The sequence below is a fragment of the Homo sapiens genome, chromosome 12 (genome assembly GCF_000001405.40).
Source record: "Homo sapiens chromosome 12, GRCh38.p14 Primary Assembly".
In the NCBI taxonomy this organism is placed as follows: Eukaryota; Metazoa; Chordata; class Mammalia; order Primates; family Hominidae; genus Homo; species Homo sapiens.
Window position 1 is genome coordinate 9,333,442 of NC_000012.12, and position 25,639 is coordinate 9,359,080.

General features: G+C 44.9%; 1 long non-coding RNA gene across 2 annotated transcripts; it reads right to left on the minus strand.

Annotated features, from left to right (window-relative positions):
* Positions 1-1,410: 1,410 nt before the first annotated feature.
* On the minus strand, positions 1,411-13,367 carry LOC105369649 (uncharacterized). 2 transcript variants are annotated; one of them, XR_007063205.1, is made up of 3 exons: positions 13,283-13,367; positions 9,238-9,361; positions 1,411-1,495 (listed from the first exon to the last, which is right to left on the minus strand). It is a non-coding gene; the product is annotated as an uncharacterized LOC105369649 (long non-coding RNA). The 2 variants fall into 2 exon arrangements; XR_002957400.2 differs by having other exon boundaries at positions 13,238-13,315.
* Between the last annotated feature and the right edge of the window lie 12,272 nt (positions 13,368-25,639).

Here is a 25,639-nt window from a genome sequence, read left to right on the forward strand (position 1 = left end):
CTTGAAATTGGACATGGAGCTGTGGGCTGCATTGGTTTCTCTGAGGCCTCTCTGCATGGCTAGTTGATGGTCTCCAGCTCTCTCTGGGTCACAGGGCCTTCCCTGGTGCTTCACTGTGTCCTTACTGCCTCTCTTATAAGGACTTTAGTCATATTGCATTAGGGCCCGCCCTAATGAACGTAATCTGTGTCACCTCTTTATGGACCACATGTCCAAATACAGTTCCATTCTGAGGCACTGGTGTTAGACATGAACATGAACTTTGAAGAGTAGACAAAATTCATCCTGTAACATATACTAATGCCTTGCAGAAGACAGACTCCCAGGAAAGGAGTTACTTGGTGAGGAATATGCATACATGACATTTTCATGGCTTAGTCAGATGACTTTCCAAAAGGGCTGTTGTGGATACATTGCCACCAGCAGTCCTGAATGTAGCTGCTTCCCAGCATCCAGCCACCCCTGGGTGTCAAGTCTTCTAATATTTTGTCAATCCGGTGTCTGCGTGACAAATAAAATTCCATTGATCCTTTCATTTCCAGCTTCCCTGCTGATATGTGTGTGTCACCTTTCGGCTGTATAGTCCCCACTTGGATTTTCTCCTCCCTGAGTCATCGCTCAGATCCGTGGCACTGTGATGGGCTCTTTCTCCCACCCAATGAGTCTCCTGGCATTGGGCCCTTTGCCGGGTCTGCAATTGCGGTAGCTGTTTCTCAAGACTGCCTTTATGTTAAACAAAGAAGCAGTTATTGGCTTTAAGTCCAAAGGGTTCTTCTAGTTTTTTGCTGTGTCACTGTCTCTAAAACAGAGGAGGAAACAAGGCCTCCCCAGGTCCTTTTCCTCCGTGTCAGCGCAGACCAAGCCTCGGGGAGTTGAGAGGGAAAGTCACACAGTAGTTCCCGTGAGCAGTTTTGGAGCTGCCTTCTTACATCCAAAAGCCTGTGTTTGCTCATTTCTAAAATGAGGGTGTGTTTTTGAGGATTTGCTGGGATAATGCTCTTTATACAGTCTATGAATACAAGTCCCTGCGTGCTAGAAGAGAGGCCCCAGGCACGCTCAGTTATCTAGGAAGGTTCTGGTTGGTGTTCATTCACTAAACACACATATGTTAAGCATTTACTTTGTGCAGGCACTTTTATAGATGACTAGCATATTTTAACAAACAAAGCAGATGCCAACCCCTGGGCCTCAACTCCATTCTATCCAGGGAGTCAGATCCTCACTGGAGACATCGAAAGCAAGGCACGCCCACAGAGTGGGAGATGCAATGCCCTCCTGGCCTCCTCTAGGTATAAACACTTCCTCCCAGATTCTGAGCAGGATGACAGATCCCAGGACCAACTCTAAAGTGGGTGGACTCTGGGTCCAGAAGAAGGACTTCCTGGGACCCCAAAAGGATGAGGGGATTATACGGCCTGTGGCTGGGGAGAGACTGACGGAACTCTGGATCTCATACACCTCATAATTCCTCCAAGATGGCTGAGGTCTGGGGCTTCTGCAAGAGGAAAGAAGTCAAGGTGAGCTGAAGATGGGGCCTCACGTCCTTGTCAAAGGAGAGGGGAGTTGGAGTCAGAGCCGGCCCCCAAAAGACCCATGCCCAGCACAGTCACTTCCCAGCTCTGCTTGTCCTCCTCCTTCCCACATCCACCTTTCCCAACCCCAGCACCAGGGGGCCCAGACCTGAAGCAGTGACGAGCCACCTGCTCACACGCCTGCCTGGAGCCACAGTCCTGGTGCCCAGGTACACGAAGCTGTGTGCCCTGGGCCTACAGGAGGAGAATGTCAGTGGGTAGCTGAGATCCACAATTGTCTGTAAAGTCCTGCTCTATGACCAGGTCTGTCCCTGCCAGGACAGCACAAAGGGCTTGGACTGGGATGGGGCTGTCCTCTAGACAGGCAGCAGCACACAGGTGCTGTGGATGAGCCGTGCTGGAGGAAAGACCAGGCCTCTGACTCTGATGCCCACTTCCTGCCCCCAGCACCTTCTCTTTCATTTTGGCCACTTGGCCAGATCAATACTCTGTAGATTTCTCTCAGCCCCCAAGCTTTCCATCCTTCAAGCCTAAGGTGACCTACATGTAGGTCAAGTGGCCTGGATCAAAGCTGCCGCAGCATCTGCACATTTTTCTTGCCTGGATGAAGCCTCTGGAGCCCATCAGATAGAGGGAGAGGTAGAGGCAGATAGTGAGGTGGCTGCAGTCTGGAAGATTTTCTGAGGTGTGGGATTTTGGGGCTGGAATTCCCCTAAATTCAGTGAGTTCACTTTGGTGTTTGGAAAGACCAGTGCAAAGTGATCGATGATGGTAATCCTATCTCTTTTCCCAGCTCTGATCCATATCCAGAAGTAGGAGCATTTCCAGTGCTAGCTGTTGAGTTAGTGTCAGCATGGGATGAGAACCTTCCAGTTACAGTGCTGCAGTTAGAGCCACCTCCAGAGCCTTCTTGCCCTTGTCCTGGGACTGTGAGAATCAGTCCAGCAAGGAGATACCTGACATCATAGCATCTGCTGCAACCTCTCGCCTCAGCCCTGCAGCAGGAGGCTGAAGAGAAGCAGCAATTGGTGAGGCCCCTGTCCCCAAGCCCCGTGCTCCTCCAGATCCTGAACATAGGAGTTGTCACGGAGATGGAGAGCAGAGCATGCGACCCCAGCTCCTGGGCCTCTCTGAAAGGCTTCCCAGGGGACAGGCTTGACCCCGTGTGTCTGGGAACTGCCCCTTTTTCTCATACTTGGTGCAGGCTTTGCCTTGTTCATGGCAGGCTTCCTGACAGGAGGTGAAGGAGCAGGCAGGGTGGGACTCCAGCAGCTCCTCCTGCTCCCAGAGGCCACCTCTTTCTTCAGGGACTGAGGTCTGATTTCAGCTGAGCATCTGGGCTAGGGTCCTTAACGGGGGACCCCCCCCACAGTATTTCAATGTAAGTTCTTTCTATTTTCATAAGTGTCAGCTGGCTGAGAAATAAAGAGAGAGAGAAAGAGTAAAAAGAGAGGAATTTTACAGCTGGGCTGCTGGGGGTGACATCACGTATCGGTAGGACCATGATGCCCACCTGAGCCTCAAAGTCAGCAAGTTTTATTAAGGATTTCAGAAGGGGAGGGGCTGCAAGAACAGGGAGTAGGTACAAAGATCACGTGCTTCAAAGGGCAAAAAACAGAACTACTGATAAGGGTCCAACAAAGATCACAAGGCAAAGGGCAAAAGCAGAATTACTGATAAGGGTCTATGTTCAGTGGTGCACATATTGTCTTGATAAACATCTTAAACAACAGAAAACAGGGTTCGAGAGCAGAGAACCAGTCTGACCTCAAATTTACCAGGGCAGGGTTTTTCCCCACCCTAATAAGCCTGAGGGTACTTACAGGAGACCAGGGCGTATCTCAGTCCTTATCTCAACTGCATAGGACAGACATTCTCAGAACGGCCATTTATAGACCTCCCCCCAGGAATGAATTCCTTTCCCAGAGTATTAATATCAATATTCCTTGCTAGGAAAAGAATTTAGCAATATCTTCCCTACTTGCACGTCCATTTATAGGCTCTCTGCAAGAAGAAAAATATGGCTGTTTTTGCCCAACCCTGCAGGCAGTCAGACCTTATGGTTGTCTTCCCTTGTTCCCTAAAATTGCTGTTATTCTGTTCTTTTTCAAGGTGCACTGATTTCATATTGTTCAAACACACATGTTTTACAATCAATTTGTACAGTTAATACAATTGTCATAGTGGTCCTGAGGTGACGTACATCCTTCAGCTTATGAAGATAACACGATTAAGAGATTAAAGTAAGACAGGCATAAGAAATTATAAGAGTATTATTTGGGAACTGATAAATGTCCATGAAATCTTCACAATTTATGTTCCTCTGCCACAGCTCCAGCCGGTCCCTCTGTTCGGGGTCCCTGACTTCCTGCAACAGGTCCTCCAATATGCTGCCCAAAACAGGCTCTTTCTGGCTGTCAGGAGGGCGGAGGTATCTGGAGGGGGTGCAGCCTCCATAGGGTACAGGTCCCAAAGCCTCCAAGACTAGCAGCTGTGCCCTGGGGTCTCCATGCCTCCATCCTGCCCAAACACTTATTCATATTGATAAGATTTCAAATTTATATAATAACTTTCAAATAAAGAATTTGACTTTTTAATGAAAATTTCCATGTCTTCTTTACCCCTCTATATTGTCAGATAGCATTGCTGAGGCTATCCTGAAAATACCTCAGAGTTTCATCTTTTTGCTGTGGTTGTTTGTGTGATTAAATTACAATCATTATTGTAAATCTTTCAGGTATGGCTTTTAGAGGTCTTTGACCTATATTTGGCATTTTTTGACTCTTAGATTTATTGTGGAAGGAAGGCTCATATGGATTCATTTCTGAGTCAGATCTTACCACCTTTTGGCATCAAGAATTTAGCATCAGAGTTTCCAGAAATTATGTATGCCACTTGATATGTCAGATGTCTTAGCTAGTCTGGGCTACTAAAGCAGCATACCAAAGACTGGGTGGCTTATAAATAAGAGAAATGTATTTTTCACAGTTCTAGAGATGGTGAAGTTCAAGATCAAGTCTTCAGCAGATTCAGTGTCTGGTGAGGGCTGGCTTCCTGGTTCATGGACAGCCATCTTTTTACTGTGTTCTCACATAGCAGAAGGGATGAGGGAGCCCTCTGGAGACTTTTCTGTAGGGGCACTAATCCCATTCATGAGGTCTCTGGTTTCATAATCTAATCACCTCCTCCCAAGGTCTCACCTCCAAAGACCATCATATAAGGGACTGGATTTCAACATAAGAATTTGAGGGGGACAAAAGCATTTGGTCCATAGCATCAGGTAACTCTTGAGTCATGTGCACTCAAAATAATTCTGTAATCTTCTGTGAATATTCACTGGTCTCCTCTTGGTTAAAAAAAATTTTTTTTAATTGTAGGTCTTGATTCAGCTAGGTCCAAAGTTTAACTTCTACAGTTGCCTGCACAACTTGTCCACAGGACAAAAGGAACTTTAGAAGCAACTGGGCATTTGGAGTTTTAGGAAAGTTGTTGGGAGGATTTGGGGTCTGGACAAGGAGAAGTAGAGGGAGGAGAGGACAAAGGTAAAGCAGGAAAGAGATCAGAATGGAAAAGGGGAGGAAGGACCCCTGTATATAAGTGTCAGCTGGAGGACAAGGAAGGGGAGGGTTTCCTAAGAAGATGAGTTTAGTTTGTTGTTGCTTCAGTTTGCTGAGTTGCCCATTATGTTTGGTCAGATAAGTATTTTTTGGGACAATATTTTTTAAATTTTTTGGAGACAGGGCCTCACTCTGTCATGCAGGCTAGAGTGCAGTGGCACCATCATAGCTCACTGCAGCCTCCAACTCCTGGGTTCAAATGATCCTCCCACCTCAGCCTACTGATTAGCTAAGACTACAGATACATACAACTATGCTTTGCTAATTTATATATATATATATATATATATATATATATATATATATATATATTTTTTTTTTTTTTTTTTTTGGTAAGGACTGGATCTTCCTATGTTGTCCAGGCTGGACTAAAACTGACTTGAAGCGATTTTTGTGCCTTAGCTTCCCAAAATGCTGGCTGTCCAGGTATGAGCCACTGTACCTGGACTAATGAGAAGATTTTTTATTCCAAATGTCATTTGGAATCCTCTGCGTACCAACCAACAACTACTACTCACTGGGCCTGAGAAATCTTATTTCCTTTCTTGTTAAGGCACCTCTCAATTGAGGAATTTTGTTTAAATCAAATATACCCCAGAGTGGCCACGGGAGGCCAAATCTTGATCTAGTGATGCCGTTTAGAAAGATGGGCACGGGAATGAGCATTGAGAGGAAAGTACACACAAGGAGCAGGAGTTTTTCCTAGAAGTGCAAAGGACTTGGGCTTAGCCAGCCCCAGGGGAGCAGGGGCTGGATGCTTATGCACCTCGTGCCTGACAGCTGCTCACCTCTGAATGAAGACACAAACATTTGTGCCTCTGGCAGGTAGAAAAAAACACCATGCACTCTCTGGATCCCAATAAGAATGCACAGAAGGAAGGAGAAAGGAGAACCTAATCGAGTTTTATTGGTGACCCACAGCACAATGTGTCCAAACAGATGCCTGACCAGTGAGAACCCCAAAGTCACCACGTGACGCTGGCTCAGAAAACAGCCTTTTAAGGCCTATGACTATGTTCTACCCTCTGATTCTCCTTGTTATGACAACAATCTTTAATGGCACAACACACAACAGTATCATAAAGTCTAGTGAAGACAGAGTAGAAGCCCTGTTTACAATGCATGGTACCATTAGGGAAGATAAATCACCTTTTAACCAGCACTTTTGTATTTTGGCTCCAAGCAGCCAAAGAGGAGAGACAAGCATCCATCACCTCGTGCAAGCAACACCAAATGCCACACCAACCAACCAATCAGGGAGGCACGGACTGACTGCAGCAGGGGAGTGTGGCAAAGAAAACCCAAGGATGTTCGGATGAATCTGGGGACAGCCATGTGGTGGTAGAGAGCGGTGCGAAGTGTTGCAAAAGTTATGGAATGATGGCTTTTGTAGTTAGCTGTGCATTCTCAATTATATGGCACTTGAAATCTTGCTTCCAATCATTCCCCCAACCTTTCTATTTAGAGATAAAATCCTCAAAGACAGAAGCAATGTTTATTTCAGCTGTGTATTTTGGAAGTGGTTTGTGGAACCTAACACATATAAGTGATCACTAAGAGAATCAGCATTTAGAAATTCCTATTTGCACATGGTATTTCGTAGTAGCTCATGCTCTTCAGCTCTGATTCCTTTCTTCAAAAGCTTGCAATAAACCTGGACAAGAATTGTATGGTGGTATCGGCTGCCCTACTTTTAAATTCCCTTAAAAATGTATTAAAAGGTTGATTAGCCAGAATATGTAGGACTTAACCTATCCTGGGATCACAGCATTTCTGAAGCTAAGGTTCCTTAACTTCAAAAAAGCACCATAAAAGGATAAGAAAAGACAACAACTTGACATAACATATATTTTCTTATAATTGCAGTCTGATGTCTTGAACAGCTGTTGCCTGCCAAAATGGACAAAGAACCAAGAGCAGCTGCAGGCCACGCACCACCACTGGGATTGCTGTGACCTTCCTGCCTTGCCCCTGGGTCTTAAATCACCAAACTCTATGGCTCACACTGGGCTGACACTGCTGACCTTACAGCCTTGCAAATGATGTCATCACCATACGTTCTTCACTCATGACGTGGCATGGATTTGACCAAAGGCGTGATCATGTTTAAAATAAAAACCCTTTATGAGAGTTCCCTTGTGCAATGCTTCCAGTGTTTAGGCACTGCTGGGTCAATTTTCTCATTATTCACATAAGCTTGCATTTCTGCCTTAAGAACCCATTGTTTGAGTCACTTCTTATGGTCCTTATCACTTTTGATCTCGTGTTAGAGCAAAATGCACACTGCCATCCTCTCCACTAGTTTGTAAGCTCTTGAAGCAGGGCTGAGTCAGACTCATCCATAGATCCCCCGAAGTGCCTGGCACTCTCCAAGTGAATAGAGGCACTTAATAAACTTCAGTAGAATCAGATTTAATTTAATGGAAGTTGATTAAAATTCACTTTCTCCTTCTCCTCCTTCACTGCACAGGAAATTCAAGTCAGCATGAGCTGAAGAGCATCTTCAGCATCGAAACTAAGGAGGATTGTTTTTCAGCTTCTTGCTGTAGCTAGATGACATGATGGCATTTAGTGTTCCAGGCCTGCATTTGAAACCTCGACATTTACCTTAACAAGGTAGGTGACCCTGAGCAAATGTTTTCACATCAGTAAACCTCAGTTTCCCCATCTGTCAGCTTAACAATTGTACGGATTTTTAACAGGATAACATAGGTGTCAAGCATCCAGCATAGTCCCTGGATCACAATGAGCATATGATCTATCAAAGTTACCAACCACATCCTGCGGCTAGAATTAAGCTCCACTGTGGTATTACTTGAACCTAAACTTCACACTGTGAAATAGTACTGTATAAAGACCACATACCTAAATTGGAAACTCAAAGTTTAAAGAAAAAAAAGACTCTCACACTCCTTAATTGAGGGGAAGTTAAAGAATATTGACCATTACATTCAGTTGGTTATAAATTGGCAAGGATGTAGAGTGGTTTGTGTGTGTGTGTGTGTGTGTGTGTGTGTGTGTATGTGTGTAACAGGTGTATAGGCAGAGTGCACTTTTTTTTTTTTTGAGACAGAGTCTTGCTCTGGCACCCAGGCTGGAGCACAGTGGCATGATCTCGGCTCACTGCAACCTCCCCCTCCTGGGTTCAAGCGATTCTCATGCCCCGGCCTCCTGAGTAGCTGGGATTACAAATGTATGCCACCACGCCTGTGTAATTTTTGTTTTTTTGGTAGAGATGGGGTTTCACCATGTTGCCCAGGCTGGCCTCAAACTCCTGACCTCAAGTGATCCACCTGCCTCAGCCTCCCAAAGCGCTGGGATGACAAGTGTGAGCCACCACACCTGGCCAGGAGTACATTTTTAAAACAGAGGTTGGTCTACTAATGTGAATGTAGAAAACCCTGCAATATCGACAATGTGTTTAGGGGTTGTATGTGTAGTAAATGGTTTGCTTCACTCAATATCTAAAAGAACAAACTTTGTTTTTTAAATATTCCTTGATGGGTTTCACTCTTATTCATTTTAACTCAAACCTCCACTCCTTTACTCAAGCTTACCACCCGGCACCCTCGGTCTCAGCTGACACCTCTGCCATACATGTCATTAGGAAGCTTGAAGCCATCCCTAGCCTTACCCATCCCCAGTCTTTCTCTTGCTGCCCTGCATGTGGTGTTCCTCCTCTTTTCAAGACAAAGCTGCTCACCTGAATTTCCCTTCCTCAGCTCCTGCCACCTTCAAGACCACGCTCTGTCAGTTATCATCTCTCTCCTAAATTTTTAACTTCTCTCTTTTTCCTCTGCCAGATGCATAACCAAGTCTGTCAGATTAACCTATAAGCTCCTTTTCAACCCATTTCACCATCTGGTCATAGCCCAGTTTTAGCTTGCCCCATTGCTTTACTCAGGACATCCCCAAATCTGCTGTTCTCACCGCTCCCCTGACAAAAACTTTCATCTGAGATGAGTCTTTCTGTGTAGATGGAGCTATCACGTATTTTGTTATAACCTGACAGCATTGTGAACAGGGCCAGTTGCTTGGCAGGGCTAGAGAACACTCTTGTAGAAAGGGATAGATAGATGAGCACACACCTGCTGGCCCACGGGTGATCTGCTCTAGGGAGGTGGTGGTCATCTGATGCACTCCATTTGCAGTTCAGCCCATGTGTGGAGTCATCTTCTCCTGCCAACATTCCCAAGAGGGCTCACCACTCACCTTCAGAGTCAAGCAGTTGTGGATGGAAATTGACAGGAGTAAGTAAGCATTCCATCAATATTTGACAATCACTAGGCTAAGTGCCAGGTTTATAACAATGAATAGGACAGGTGGGATGTCTCCCATGCAGTTTACTGTTTGCCCACGAGCCTTTCCCCCATTTTCTACCTCCAGTGGCCTTGGTGCTCTGGGGCCTATTCTATGCCTCCACTGTCACTGGCTCTATGTGTTTGCTCTCTGCAGCTAGCCTTCCTGCTGTTGACAGTGTCCTCCCTTGTCATCACAGTTGATTGACCCAGAAGCTCTGACTGGAGCAGGGAGGGCTTGGAGGGTCAGAAAAAATACTATTAATTATAGAGAGGGTTAAATTGTTTGCTCAGTGTCATTCAGTCAGTACCAGAGATAAAAACTCCCCAAATCCCTCAGATTAGGTCAAATCCTGCCATAGGCACCTATAGTACCTTGCACCTCTTTTTTTTTTGTAACAATCATCACTCTTGTAGCTATTTGTTTAGTGCCTGTGTTCACCGGAGTCCAGGCTCTACTAGAGCTGGTATCACATCTATCCTTTTCACTGTGCATCTAGCACACTCTTGGTATAGATTGCTGGACAAAAATATTTGATTTTATTTTAGATTTTTAGGCACCTTGAAATTTTTAGTTAACTGTTTTTTAAAGCGGTTTCCTAAATCTGCAACCATTTCCCTTGCATAAAATGGGTTTTTGAGTCAGGAGATCAGGCACTACTGCAAAAAAGGGCCTAGGATCCAAGGCAGATTTAGGGAGAAGGAAATGTTCTAAACAAAAACAAAAACCAGTGGAGCCAGAGGTGTGGATAAGGTATACGATAAGCTGTGTGGACTCAGAGGTCCTGGGTGTGTAATAACACAAGATTTCCTCCCCACGGCACACAGCTGCTTGTGCTCAAGTCCTGCCAGTTGACAGAAAGCTCCCTTGTCTTGTGACTACTGCATTAGGCAGAAGGAGCAAAGAAAGGGCACAACGGACCACGGGCAAGGTAAGGAGGGAAAGACAGTTGCTTTGAAAAGTCACCAGCAGCCGAGGATCAAGGCCCTTTCAGACCTGGCCCTACATGTTGGGGAGGTACTTGAGAGCATCCTTTAGGAGGAGGCAGTAGGGGGCCAATGAGATTTTGAGGACAGAGCAGCTGCTCACACTAGAGAGGCCAGAAATCCTGAGGTTGGACAGAATTTGCTATTGTTTGGATGGTGCTTCTTGAATTTTTATTCTTTTTTCCCCTAGGGATATGGCTGCTGTATATTGTTAATGATCAGCTGGTTTGGTTTCTGAGTACTTTCAGGGTGCCAAGGCTTTGTATGGGTTCCTCAGTTGCAAATAGGTTCATGCAGTGACTTCCCCAGACACTGCTTCTTGTGATATAGTTTTGTTTGAGGTGTAATTTAGGCTGCAGTCTAGTAGATGGCATTTAAGAGTAAGAACTGGCAGGTAGGGGTGGGGACAGAGGCAATGGAGAAGTGTGTGTTTGGGATTTAAAGAACCTCAAGAAACTGTGATATTATGAAATATATATCTGGTCTTCATCTTGATTCCTGGCATAAAACTCCTATAATTCTTGGAATCCAAAATTTTAAATCTAAATTGCGACTGTAAGAAAATAACGTGGTGCTGCCTTGTGCTGCCTTTCATTCTAAATGGATTTTGGGTGACAAGGTTTAACAGAGTAGAATCACAGGAATGATTTTCTAATTTCTCAAAGTGAGATAGTTTTTATCTTGGACCCCCCAAACATTGAAGAACCCTTTCTTATGTGGATTTCTAAATAGTGTACAGCACAGTAGTAGGGTTTATTTCCTAAATGGTAAAACAAAATCACAGAGAATCTGAGTAACCTTGGATTTTCCTGCTTTAGCCACTTGGCAGAGACTAAGCTTTCTAAGCCAAGGAACCAGACAATCACAGCGTTATTGGGTAAACTGTAGCTGACCTTGTGTAAGCCTTCTCTGGGGTAACATATGACCATGATTTATAAGTTTCTCCCACTATCACCGACACATATTTTTCTGCTTTTTTGGTGTGTTTTCTGTTGTCCTCTTTACAAAAAAGCTAAAGGCTTTTTTTGAGAGACAGTACCAGGTATTTACTATGGCTGAATGCATCATACCTAACATCACTACATATGAGACATCTCTTCAAAACTAACAGGTGACAGAAAAGACAACCCAGTCAACTGTGATCAACTAGGAAGTGAAAAAATATGGAGCTCCATATTTTAATATGCACAACCTGAACAAAATTGTGAGAATATAGCACAGGCATGTGTGTTACAGATGCCATGATAATTCTCACACCAAATTGTAAAAAAAAAAAAAAAAAAAAAAAAAAGGCAAACCCTAAAGTGTTTAATGTGCCTCATATCTTTGCTACATCAAATTTTTGGATCAGAATTTATAAGATCTACCAGAAAAGTATCAAAAGATTATTCTCTTGCAGTGCAGGTTATCTACACACTCTATGTTCTGAATGTGTCCTTTTAAAAATGAAAAAATTCACACATTTTAACCTGAGGCAGGAAATAACAATTGTGAAGCCTCAAGCAAGCATTTCAGTTTAGTGGTGGTGAGTTTGAGGAAGAATCAGAGCCCCTGGTATTTCTCTCAGCAGGAAGTCTGAAGTCTGGGCCCAGAAGCAAAACTCAGTTGATGGAATTTTGTCTACATCAGGAAAAAATGAATTTGGGATGGACTAGTTCTCAGCTACATACAACCAAGAGTATTAAAATTATAATTCAATCAGAGAGACCATAACAGTTCATTCCTTTGGAAATCATACAATAAATATGACATCTTTTTTTAAAAAAATTTATTTTTGTTGAAATGGGAGTCTCACTATGCTACCCAGGCTGGCCTTAAACTCCTGGGCTTAAGTGATCTGCCTGCCTCGGCCTCCCAAAGTGCTGAGATTAAAGGCATGAGCCACCATGCCCAGCCTGACATTATATTTTCTAAACTAATATACAGCTAGAATATTATGCACTCTCTGAATAACAGAAAAAGAGGTTTTAATATAGGTAGATTTTTTAACTTTAATAATTTTAAAAACCAAAAAGTTTAAGGCTTTAAAGGAATAATAATCAAAACCTATAAAGTTACAAACAAAGTACATTTCTTAAATATCTACCACTCCAGTTCTTTGAATACTACAATTGGTTGCACACATTAAACTTGTGCGGCGATTAATGCTTTCCATGTCTTTTCCATCTGCTTACAGTTATGCCACAGACCTCTGGGCATAAGGACTAGCCAGGTCTGTCTAACACATACTTCGGTGTGACTTAACAAACTGGTTTCTACTACATTCAGCCTGAAGTGACAGTGCTTTTTAATGTTGGTTGCAGGCAGGGGACTGTTGCCCCCTCCCAAGCACTTCAGCTTCCTTGCACGGCCTCTCCTTGGCTTCTGTCTGTCCCTGCCAGCAGCATTTCATGGGACCCATCCTGACCCTCCAAGAAAGCAGAAAAGGGGGTTCCTGATGTAAAAAGTAAAGAACTATCATCTGAAGAAGGTGAGTCCTTTTAAACTGTGAGTCCTGGAGCCACGTTAAAATGAGAGCAATCACACCTTACTCCCTGCTTTGAGCTATGTGTTCATCTCTTAAAACTGCTTGCTATTGCCACAAGTAGCTATCAATTAATTTTAATTTGGGATAATTAGCATAGTGTCTTATCAGAACTATAGCCCATATTCTTTAGCTTAACAATGGATAGCCAATTGCTCATCAATTTTATTTCTGTAAACCAAAGAGAGTTCCTGATCAACAACTTTGTACCAGCCCACTCTCTCTGTCCCCCTTTTGTCTTTAAAAACCTGCTTGGAACAAAGGCTCTAGGAAGCTCACAGCCAAGGGTACTTGGGTCTGAGTCTTCCAGGCAGCTGTCCTCACTTTGGCTCAAGTAAACTCTTTAGATTGTACTCTGTGTCTCAGCTTCTTCCTTTCAGGTGGATACTGAGGGGAGTAAATGAATGGCTCCTGCTCTTTCTCTGTCTGAAGCTTGGACTATTCATGAGAGGACTTCCTACTCCAAGACATAAGGGAGTCTTGCTCAGAAGGAGGAGCTCCTGTCTGCTGAGGACACGGTTCCATCCAATGAGGTCAGCAGGGCTATCAGCAGCTTCCGTTAATTCCGTTGGGGCAGGCGCTTGGCAAGCGGCAGTTATTTGAGCTGAGGATGCTGGGATAGATTTTAACATGAGCAGTTGGCCCTTAGATCATGAGACCAGCTAAAGTGCCCAAGGAAATGGAACAGCAGGGAGAGGGGACATCACACACACCACCAAAACCTCTTGTTAGTCTCTGGCTTCCATATCCTTCCCCAAAACCTCAGCCCAACTCAGCCTCATTTTTCCATCTCTTCTCCCTTCCTCCATGGGAGAGCTTTCTGTTGGCACAGGAATAGCTGAGAAGTGGGAAAGATCAAGTGTAGTAAAAGCTGCCCCAGATAATCTACAGAAAACTTTGCTGGAATGAGGTTGTGCATCTCTGAACCTGAGCTAGATTTGTTGGGTCAGGGACCATATTTAACTGGCTCAAGAACTGACACAGGAGGTGTCTAATAAATACTTGTTGGATGAATAAACAGCTAAGTGAGTGCTTACAAAAGCAAAGCTCCAGTACCCTCAGGCCACACCTACTGGAAAAATATATGTCAGCCCCAGAAAATTGTGGGCAAGATGAGGCAAGTCCTGAGCAACACAGGAAACTGCCCTCCTCCTTTTCTGGCCCCGCTTCCACTGTGATGCTAAAGATCGCATCAAGGCTGGTCATCCAATCAGCAGGATGTAAGAGGGTCATTCTTCACTGTGGCCATTTAGAAGTTTCCTGGAAACCTGGCTTTCTCCTGACCATTGCCCCATGAGCATGGTGGTGACAAGCTTGGGCTCTGAAATCAGACAGCCCCAAGTTTGAAACCTCAATATTCTTACTTGCTAGCTATGAGACTTTGGGCAAATTCACCTCTCCAAATCTCAATTTCTCAATCTGTATAATGGGGATAATATTGGGTAATGCACTAAGCACCATGTCAGGAATGTAGTTAGTGTTCAATAAACGTTTATCTTTATTGCTGCGAAACCTCATTCTGCCATTCCCTTCTTTGTCTTCCTCTCCCAACCCCCCAGCTTCATCATGGCCTATGAACAGCCAAAGGGTAAAATGATCAGAAAACTGGACAGTTTTTGACAGTCTGTAAGTAACTACTGTGGCCTACTCAACTGCCTGGCCTTTTGAAAAGCACACTTAGAAGCTGGTGATGTCCATGGGACCACATACCGGGAAATGACAGAGGTGTATATTTACAAAGTAACTCTTGACCCAAAGTACCTCTTTAAAAGAAGACAAGCATGTTTTGCTCCCATGATATCTTATAGTGGCACCTAGATTGCTGAGGGCCTGTTGTCCAGTAAGTAATGTCACCTAGAGGGGGTATGATTGGTTTGGAGTCTGGGTCTGAGAACTGGGGTAAACCACTTCTTCATGTCGTAGTCCCCTTATACATAAAACAGAGGGATTGGACCAGATGGATCACTAAAGGTCCTTCCAGTGTTAAGACTTAAAGGGTAAATGGCTCTTTGATAAAGAGAGATCATAAAAAAGTAAGATCCACACAGCTTAACCTCCCAGGGGGCAATTAAGATGCTTTAATGTGAAGTGAATGACGACGTGGTAGAGTTTGATGTGAATGTAATAGCATAGGAAGGCCGGAGGGCATGGGGGCCTCTCAACCTCATTCTCTGTACTAGATGCGGCATCTGGAGCATCTCAAGAGGGGCTAAGAGATTCTGTCCTCACCCCAGCTCTGAAGATGCCTCCACCATGAGAAAGAGACAGGGAGCCCCTGACTCTCTCTGCTCCTTCACCGGTTACTCCCACGTTGGAAGGCAGGAGAGGAGCAAGGCCCCAGCATCTTCCATCACTGCTGCAGACACCAACCAACCCTCCTTCCTCCCCACCTCTGCTTCAACTCTCACCTGAGTCCCCGCCCCAAATAGCCCTCTGCTAGCCATTAGGTGTTAGCTGCACTTCACTTGCAAAAGGTTTTCCTCTGCCAATTTTTTTTTAAATTTAAAAGTAAACTTTAATATTGAAAATGCAAACTTGGGGAGGGCAGAAAGATCACACACAAGGCTGTCGCTTCACACTTGGAGGGTTGCACAGTGGCTGGGCAAAGGCGCTCCTCACTTCCCAGACAATGGGGTGGCCAGGCAGAGGTGCTCCTCACTTCCGAAACAGTGCCTTGGCCGGGCAGAGGCGCTGGTCACTTTCCGGATGGTGCGGCGGCCAGGGAGAGACGCTTCTCACTTCCCAGACGGTGGGGCGGCCAGGTAGAGGCGCTCTTCACTTCCCAGACGGTGGGGCGGCCAGGGAGAGACGCTTCTCACTTCCCAGACAGTGCGGCAGCCAGGTAGAGGCGCTCCTCACTTCCCAGACAGTGTAGTCCCTGGGCAGAGGGGCACCTCACTTCACAGATGGGGCAGCGACCGCAGAGGCACTCCTCACTTCCCAGACGGCGGGGGAGCCAGGCAGAGGAGCTCTTCACTTCCCAGACGGGGTGGCGGCCGGGCAGAGGCGCTCCTCACTTCCGAGACGGGGTGTCCTTCGCCAATTTTTATAAAAAATTTTGGCATAGTGCTTGCATAAATTTGCAGGTTGTATTCAAGACGCCTTGACTCCAATAACATAAGAGAAAACACAATGAGGGCACTTGCAGTCAAAGGAAGTTTTCAGGAGGGCACACTTGATTTGCTACACGGGGCTGGGAGAGGCACTGGGTATGTGAGGCTGGGATGCCCACGATCCAGGAATACAGAGCTTTTTCAACGTTGGCTTGAAGTCATGGCTAATAGGCAGAAAAAGGCTCCTCTCACCATGAGGGAAGACTCAGGAGGTGTGGAGGGGAATGGGGTCCATTTATTCCATCCAAGATGGGGCAAGGAAGGACAGGAGGAAGCCCAAGTGTGGAGCTGTTTCCTCCCAATAGTGAATATCTGGTAATTTACCCAGAAGTTCTGATTTTTCTTTTTAGTCAAACTAGGTTCTGATTTCCAAGATAAGGCGAAATCCAGAGCAGTTTGGGAAATGAAGGAATCTGACTGAACAATAAGAGTCAGAACCGTTGCCCTACCATAAGCAACACCTTAACAGAAACAAATTCCTTTGTCCGTTCATTCTATCCACAGACTATTTTCAGAGAAGAGAATGTCCCAGCTAGAAATGCAAGTGGACGAGTGCCAACCCGATGAGGCCAATGATTTGCGAGTGGAGACCTCTGAGGAACTTGGTAAAGAAAGCAGGGCTTTGGCCTTCGCCCGGGAGGCTTGGGACCCCTGACCACCCCCTGCCCCATCACCAATAAACAGACAGGAAGGAGGAATTCAGGGACAGCCTTCAGAAAGGAGTGGCTATCCACTGGCCACAGCGATGACTAAAGAGAGGTTCATGCCACAGCAGAACACAAACGGCGCCAAAGCTGTCTAAAGCAGACACTGAGTTTATTATTTGCTGAAGAAGGGGAGTGACCCATTTCATTAAGAAAGGTCAGAACAGCTCTCCAAACTGAAGGTAAACAGGACGGACACACTGTGGAAAAGAGGACATTTTGTTTAAAGGTCTGATTGGCTTAATTGTAAACTCTCTTGAGGGAGTGGCTGCTGTTCTGGTTGTGTGTCACAGAGACTTGAGAACAGCTCGCAGGAGATCCTGGATGATCTGACCTGTGGTGCACGGCCCTGGCAGCCTGGTGTCTGTGCCTCCTCTCGTTGAGATGAGATTTTTCTCTGGCACCCACTTGGGTTAAGAGTGAGAAGCCCTGGGGCCCATGGGCCTGCTGCATGACTCTGTACCCATCACCTGGCACATATGCAGACTTCCTGGTCACAGGGATGAGGAAACCACATGAAAAGCAGTTGGAGAAATTTGTTACCATGCAGCCATCCTATTTTCTAAACAGGAAAACTGAGTTGCAGAGAGCGAAGCCCCAGTAAGTTGGAGGATAGATGATTAAAATGCTGCTGAATAAGGGAGAAAAAGGCAAACTGGAAAGACCTAACCCCAAATTAGTCATGTCCAAATCCTGGTAGGAAGATTACAAGAGATTTTTATTTTCTCTCCTGTATGGATTTTCTATATTATTCTTTTCTGTTGGTATTCTGTATTCTCCAAATTTTTTTACTATGTGTGGCTTTGAAACCATATTTACAAAAATTTGAAGCATCAAAGATGAGCTCAAGGTCAAGGTCACTATTAAGTCAAAGGCATGCATAGATCAGGCACAGTGGCTCATACGTGTAATCCCAGCACTTTGGGAGGCTGAGGCAGGCAGATCACTGGAGGCCAAGAGTTTGAGGCCAGCTTGGGCAACAGAGAGAGACCCCATCTCTACTAAAAATTCAAAAAATTAGCTGGTCATGGTGGCATGCACCTGCAGTTCAGCTACTCAGGAGGCTGAGGCAGGAGGATTGCTTAAGCCCAGGAGTTTAAGGTTACAGTGAGCTATGATCCCTTCTCCGTACTCTAGCCTGGGTGACAGAGGGAGACCTTGTCTCTGTTTAAAAAACAAATCTGTGCTTAGCAAAGTCAGGATATTTTCCCAGAACAGGAGTTGAGAATTCAGAGCTGGTGGCTAAGTCTGGCAGCCCTATGCTGGCTAGAGCCTAGGGCTCCATCTCCAGCGTCCCAGTCCAATTACCCTCTTCCTTGTTAGCAATAAGCAATGCACTTCTTCAAGCTAGCATGCTGCTGTCTCCTCTATTCCAATTTCTTGTCCTCGCTGTTCACTGCCTTGTTACCTGGTGGCCCTGTCCAACATCAAGGACTCAACCTTTCCATTTCCTCCCAGGACCCTCGCTGAGTCCCCTTAGCCTCTTCACTTGCTTCTGCATGGCCCGTCCTGTCAGTTATTTCAGCAATCCCTCATCCCCTTGACCTCACCGCCTGCCCCTGGGGACAATCACAAGAGGACTCCATTTGACTCAGTCCAGCTGCCGCCTTCTCTGTCCTGCCTGAAGCAGCTGAGCGCTGTTGAGACCACACGGCCTCATGGATCTAGACGGGCATGAGCTCCCGGCCTCTGCTTCATCCTTGGTGCTGCCCGTAAGTCCTGTGGTCTCTGGCCAGCTTTATGTCCTACTCCCCCAATGGCTATAACAGACCTTCACCAGTCTCCTGAAGATTTCTTTCCTACTGACTCGCCCCTCCCCAGCCCTAGCTCACAATGAACTTACCCTCTGCTTCAAGGTAGAAGTAAATTTCCTTATGTGGGGGGAACGTTCAAAATTTCTAGCCTCCCTCTGCAGAGCCCCTCTCCCCGGCAGCCTCTCCTTCTACAGCTGTGGGAGGAGGCCTTACTTTTGAGTAAAGCTAATGCCTCCTCACAGCACTGAGTCCCCTCTCGTCCCCATTTCTCAGGGAGCTTATTCCATTTCTAGTCCTCTCGTATTTTAAATATGAAGCCAGAATACAGCCATGGAACTGCTTCTCCCTCAGAGCCTCCAGTAGAAACTCACCCTGCCAACACCTTGACTTTGCACTTCCAGCCTTCTCAACTGAGACAGAATACATTTCTATTGTTATAAGCCAGGGAGCCCTAGGAACCCAATACACCAACTTTCAAGGGCCTCATCCCACTGACGTCCAAGCAGGCCTAGATCTATGTATGTGTTGTCTCAGTTCTGAAAGCTCCCATGAGCCTGCAGAGAGACTGCAGGGTCTTCCTGAATCGTGCCTGAGGATGAGAGGGAGACTTAGAGGATTGCCCAGATATTGTTCCACCATTTTTCTAAACTCTGCTGGCCTCTCCCCCTCCCCCAAGAAGGCTTCCTGCTAAATTCTGCCCTGCAAGTTGGCCCTGCAGCATTCTCAAGTGCTGCCTGCCCCTGTGAACTTAAATGGATTGCGCTGTTCTTTGCACAAGAGCAAAAACATCTGCCTGGAGTGCAGCTTGTCCTAGTGGCTGGGACTTCCCTGATACACAGCTCTCCCCCATCTGCTGTGGAGTGGTCTCACTGACATCTGGGGAAGCAACTGGAAGAAGCTTCATCCCTATTTCCAAAGGTTCACAGTGACTGGCAGCTGGTGTTGAGACAGACCCGCCGCCTTCTGTAGGTGGACTTTGGTGCTGGCCTTGGTTGTCTTTTTATGGACATATTGTGAGGAGTGTGATTTTCGTCCTCCTGCCCCAGCAGTGTGGCAGTGCATTTTTTATTCTTTCAAGCAGGTTGTTTCATGGTGTTTCTTGGCATACGATGGGAACAGAATTAAAGATATGCCTCTTTTGGGGCGTGGCTTTGGCACCAAAGGCTTTCCGGAAGGAGCTGCTCAGACCAAGGGGGGCTCCCCTGCTAAAGATGGGAGGGAGGAGTCACCAGGAGTGGCCACCTTACCTATGGAATTGATTGTAGCCATCCTAAGGAAGGTCTATGGGCTCTTGAGGAAGGCAAAGGTCTTGTATAATAACTGACCCACAAGCTGTCTTTTGCCTGTCTTTTGCCAATAGCAGTGCCAAGCTGTCTCTGGCTATTGGGCAGCTGATGAGCACCGTCATGAAAAAGTGGGGCCGAGACGTGCTGCAAGTAGTGTGGCGCTGGGGCAGGAGCTCTGCCTGCAGAACAGGGGCCAGGCTCCCTCCTGGCTCTGTCACTCAGCAGGTGCAGGGCCTTGGCCAGTCCCCTGTCCTGTGTTAGTCATGATTCATTCACCTATCAAATGGAGGCTTGGCCTGAGTTTTCTCTGCAGTCCTACTGAGCTCCAGCTTTTTAAATTCTCACCTCCCTACTGCCTCCTCTGCTGTGGGCCAGTTTCTCAGCTACAATATCCATGTTCAAGGGTGTAGGCAGTGGAAGGCCTCATAGGCAGGGCACAGGGAAGCCTTGTGGGTTCATTCATGCAGCTTTCCTGAGACAGCTGGGGGCTTAGACTGTGACTGCAAACCAACAAGCTGGTGGAGTGACGGTGGCCTTGGAATGCTTTTCCTTTTTAGGTTGACATGTTAAAATGGGAAAAATCTGCTTACAAATCTACATTTCCCACTTCGCTGAAAGAACTTTAAAATGGGGTCACTTAGAACAACCTGGACTCTCTCACAACCTTCCTCCTTCTCTTTCTGAGTCTCTTGACACACCTGGCCTTCACTAATTTAGGTGACTTGCCTGGTGTAGCTACTAGAAATGGAAGAATACCCTGAGGGCATCTGGGAGGCATTGCCCTGTAGTGGGCTTCCCAGAGACCATGTGTTAGGGATGTGAGGGCCAGGCCAGAGCCTTGCTGCCCCTCCTGCAATGCCAGCTGTCCCTGCAGTTTTGTGGGTGGAAAGTTGATCCCAGCTGACAGTGGCAGCCTTGAAGTGTCTCCAGGAGGGTCTGGTACCTCTTGAGTGTTGGAAGTAAATGCTCGGTGCTGCCAAGTGAAAATAGCACTCAGGCAAAAGTTTTCTCAGCAAGGCAATTTACTTCTACAGAAGGGTGCATCTCACGGATGGAGCAATGGCAAGAGCACACTGGACAAGGGAGGGGAAGGGGTTCTTATTCCTAATGCAGCTAGTCCCTACTGCTGTGTCTTTCCCCTATTGGCTGGGGTTGGACTGCACAGTCTAAGCTAATTCCAACTGGCTATTTTAAAGAGAGCAGGGGTATGAGCCAGAGAGGCGGGGTGAGTAGTTTTGGTGGGAAGGATGGTTACAGAGCAGGTGACTAAGGATGACTAAGAACACAGCAGGTGACTAAGGATGACTAAGAACACAGCAGGTGACTAAGGATGACTAAGGACAGAGCAGGTGATAGAGGCTGGGAGGGGGTTGTTTACCAAAACTAGGGGCAAAGAGACGTAAAGAACAAAGTTAAACTTTAAAGTGGAGAACAAACAACAGGGAAGCTGAACATACTGACATGTTGGTTCTTTGAAGAGGAACTCAGAACTCATTGTACTTAACAATTTTCCCCCTCTTGAATTTTTTTTCAAGTTTCTGATAACTTTATTTCTTTTTCTTTTTATTGTACTTCAAGTTCAAGGGTACATGTGCACAACATGCAGTTTTGTTACATAGGTATACATGTGCCATGTTGGTTTGCTGCACCCATCAATTCATCATTTACATTAGGCATTTCTCCTAATGCTATCCCTTCCCCAGCCCCCCACTCCCTGACAGGCCCCAGTGTGTGATGTTCCCTGCCTTGTGTCCAAGTGTTCTCATTGTTCAATTCCCATTTATAAGTGAGAACATGCGGTGTTTGGTTTTCTGTCCTTGTGATAGTTTGCTGAGGATGATGGTTTCCAGCTTCATCAATGTCCCTGCAAGGGACATGAACTCATCCTTTTTTATGGCTACATAGTATTCCATGGTGTATATGTGCCACATTTTCTTAATCCAGTCTATCATTGATGGACATTTGGGTTGGTTCTTTGCTATTGTGAATAGTGTCACAATAAACATACGTGTGCATGTGTCTTTATAGTAGTATGATTTGTAATCCTTTGGGCATATACCCAGTAATGGGATGGCCGGGTCAGATCCTTGAGGAATTGCCACACTGTCTTCCACAATGGTTGAACTAATTTACACTCCCACCAACAGTGTAAAGGCGTTCCTATTTCTCCACATCCTCTCCAGCATCTGTTGTTTCCTGACTTTTTTTTTTTTTTTTTCTGAGACGGAGTCTCGCTCTGTCACCCAGGCTGGAGTGCAGTGGCGCGATCTTGCCTCACTGCAAGCTCCACCTCCCGGGTTCATGTCATTCTCCTGCCACAGCCTCCCGAGTAGCTGGGACTACAGGGGCCCGCCACCAAGCCCAGCTAATTTCTTTGTATTTTTAGTAGAGACGGGGTTTCACTGTGTTAGCCAGGATGGTCTCAATCTCCTGAACTCATGATCCACCTGCCTCGGCCTCCCAAAGTGCTGGGATTACAGGCGTGAGATACCGCACCTGGCCGTTTCCTGACTTTTTAATGATCAGCATTCTAACTGGCATGACATGGTATCTCATTGTGGTTTTAATTTGCATTTCTCTGATGACCAGTGATCATGAGCATTTTTTCATCCATCTGTTGGCTGCATAAATGTCTTCTTTTGAGAAGTGTCTGTTCATATCCTTTGCCCACTTTTTGATGGGGTTGTTTGCTTTATTCTTGTAAATTTGTTTAAGTTCTTTGTAGATTCTGGATATTAGCCCTTTGTCAGATGGGTAGATTGCAAAAATTTTCTCACAGATGGTAGTTTCTTTTGCTGTGCAGAAGCTCTTTGGTTTAGTTAGATCCCATTTGTCTATTTTGGCTTTTGTTGCCATTGCTTTTGGTGTTGTAGTCATGAAGTCCTTGCCCATGCCTGTGTCCTGAATGGTATTGTCTAGGTTTTCTTCTAGGGTTTTTATGGTTTTAGGTCTAACATTTAAGTCTTTAATCCATTTTGAATTAACTTTTGTTTAAGATGTAAGGAAGTGATCCAGTTTCAGCTTTCTATGTATGGCTAGCCAGTCTTCTCAGCACTATTTATTAAACAGGGAATCCTTTCCCCATTTCTTGTTTTTGTCAGGTTTGTCAAAGATCAGATGGTTGTAGATGTGGGTTTTATTTCTGAGATCTCCGTTCTATTCCATTGGTCTATAAATCTGTTTTGGTACCAGTACTATGCTGTTTTGGTTACTGTAGTCTTGTAGTATAGTTTGAAGTCAGGTAGCATGATGCCTCCAGCTTTGTTCTTTTTGATTAGGATTGTCTTGGCAATGCGGGCTCTTTTTTGGTTCCATATGAACTTTAGTTTTCTCCAATTCTGTGAAGAAAGTCTTTTGTAGCTTGATGGGGATGGCACTGAATCTATAAATTACCTTGGGCAGTATGGCCATTTTCACAAATATTGATTTTTCCTATCCATGAGGATGGAATGTTCTTCCATTTGTTTGTGTCCTCTTTTATTTCGTTGAACAGTGGTTTGTAGTTCTCCTTGAAGAGGTCTTTCACATCCCTTGTAGGTCGGATTCCTAGGTATTTTATTCTTTTAGTAGCAGTTGTGAATGGGAGTTCACTCCTGACTTGGCTCTCTGTTTGTTATCGGTGTATAGGAATGCTTGTGATTTTTGCACATTGATTTTGTATCCTGAGACTTTGCTGAAGTTGCTTATCAGCTTAAGGAGATTTTGGCCTGAGGCAATGGGGTTTTCTAAATATGCAGTCATGTCATCTGCTAACAGGGACCATTTTACTCCCTCTTTTCCTAATTGAATACCCTTTATTTCTCTTGCCTGATTGCCCTGGCCAGAACTTCCAACACTATGTTAAATGGAGTGGTGAGAGAGGGCATCTGTGTCTTCTGCCAGTTTTCAAAGGGAATGCTTCCAGTTTTTGCCCATTCAGTATGATATTGGCTGTGGGTTTGTCATAAATAGCTCTTATTATTTTGAGATACGTTCCATAAATACCTAGTTTATTGAGAGTTTTTAGCATGAAGGGCTGTTGAATTTTGTCAAAGGCCTTTTCTGCATCTATTGAGATAATCATGTGGTTTTTGTCATTGGTTCTGTTTATGTGATGGATTATGTTTATTGATTTGCATATGTTGAACCAGCCTTGCATCCCAGGGATGAAGCTGACTTGATGTTGGTGAATAAGCTTTTTGATGTGCTGCTGGATTTGATTTGCCAGTATTTTATTGAGGATTTTTCCATCAATGTTCATCAGGGATATTGGTTTAAAATTCTCTTTTTGTGTTGTGCCTCTGCCAGGCTTTGGTATCAGGATGATGCTGGCCTCATAAAATGAGTTAGGGAGGATTCCCTCTTTTTCTGTTGATTGGAATAGTTTCAGAAGGAATGGTACCAGCTCCTCTTTGTACCTCTGGTAGAATGTGGCTGTGAATCCATCTGGTCCTGGATATTTTTTGGTTGGTAGGCTATTAATTACTGCCTCAATTTCAGAGCCTTTTATTGGTCTAGATTTTCTAGTTTATTTGTGTAGAGGTGTTTATAGTATTCTCTGATGGTAGTTTATATTTCTGTGGGATTGGTGGTGATATCCTCTTTATCACTTTATTGTGTGTATCTGATTCTTCTCTCTTCTTTATTAGTCTTGCTAGTGGTCGACTAATTTTGTTGATCTTTTCAAAAAACCAGCTCCTGGATTCATTGATTTTTTGAAGGGTTTTTTTGTCATTGATTTTTGAAGTGTCTTTATCTCCTTCAATTCTGCTCTGATCTTATTTCTTACCTTCTGCTAGCTTTTGAATTTGTTTGCTCTTGCTTCTCTAGTTCTTTTAATTATGATGTTAGGGTGTTGATTTTAGATCTTTCCTGCTTTCTCTTGTGAGCATTTAGTGCTATACATTTCCCTCTACAAACTGCTTTAAATGTGTCCCAGAGATTCTGGTACGTTGTGTCTTTGTTCTCATTGATTTCAAAGAACATCTTTATTTCTGCCTTCATTTCATTATTTACCCAGTAGTCATTCAGGAGCAGCTTGTTCAGTTTCCATGTAGTTGTATGGTTTTGAGTGAGTTTCTTAATCCTGATTTCTAATTTGATTGCACTGTGGTATGAAAGACAGTTTGTTGTGATTTCTGTTCTTTTACATTTGCTGAGGAGTGCTTTACTTCCAATTATGTGGTCAATTTTATAATAAATGTGATGTGGTGCTGAGAAGAATATATATTCTGTTGATTTGGGGTGGAGAGTTCTGTAGATGTCTATTAGATCCACTTGGTGCAGAGTTGAGTTCAAGTCCTGGATATCCTTGTTAACCTTCTGTCTCATTGATCTGTCTAATATGGACAGTGGGGTGTTGAAGTCTCCCATTATTACTGTGTGGGAGTCTAGGTCTCTTTCTAGGTCTCTAAGGACTTGCTTCATGAATCCGAGTGCTCCTGTATTGGGTGCATATATGTTTAGGACAATTAGCTCTTCTTGTTGAATTGATCCCTTTACCATTATGTAATGGCCTTCTTTGTCTCTTTAGATCTTCACTGGTTTAACGTCTGCTGTATCAAAGACTAGGATTGCAACCCCTGCTTTTTTTTTCTCTCCATTTGCTTGGCAGATCTTCCTCCATCCATTTATTTTGAGCCTATGTGTGTCCTGCACTTGAGATGGGTCTCCTGAATATAGCACACTAATGGGTCTTGACTCCTTATCCAATTTGCCAGTCTGTGTCTTTTATTAGGGGCATTTAGCCCATTTACGTTTAACATTAATATACTTGTGTGTGAATTTGATCCCGTCATTACAATGTTAGCTGGTTATTTTGCCCATTAATTGATGCTGTTTCTTC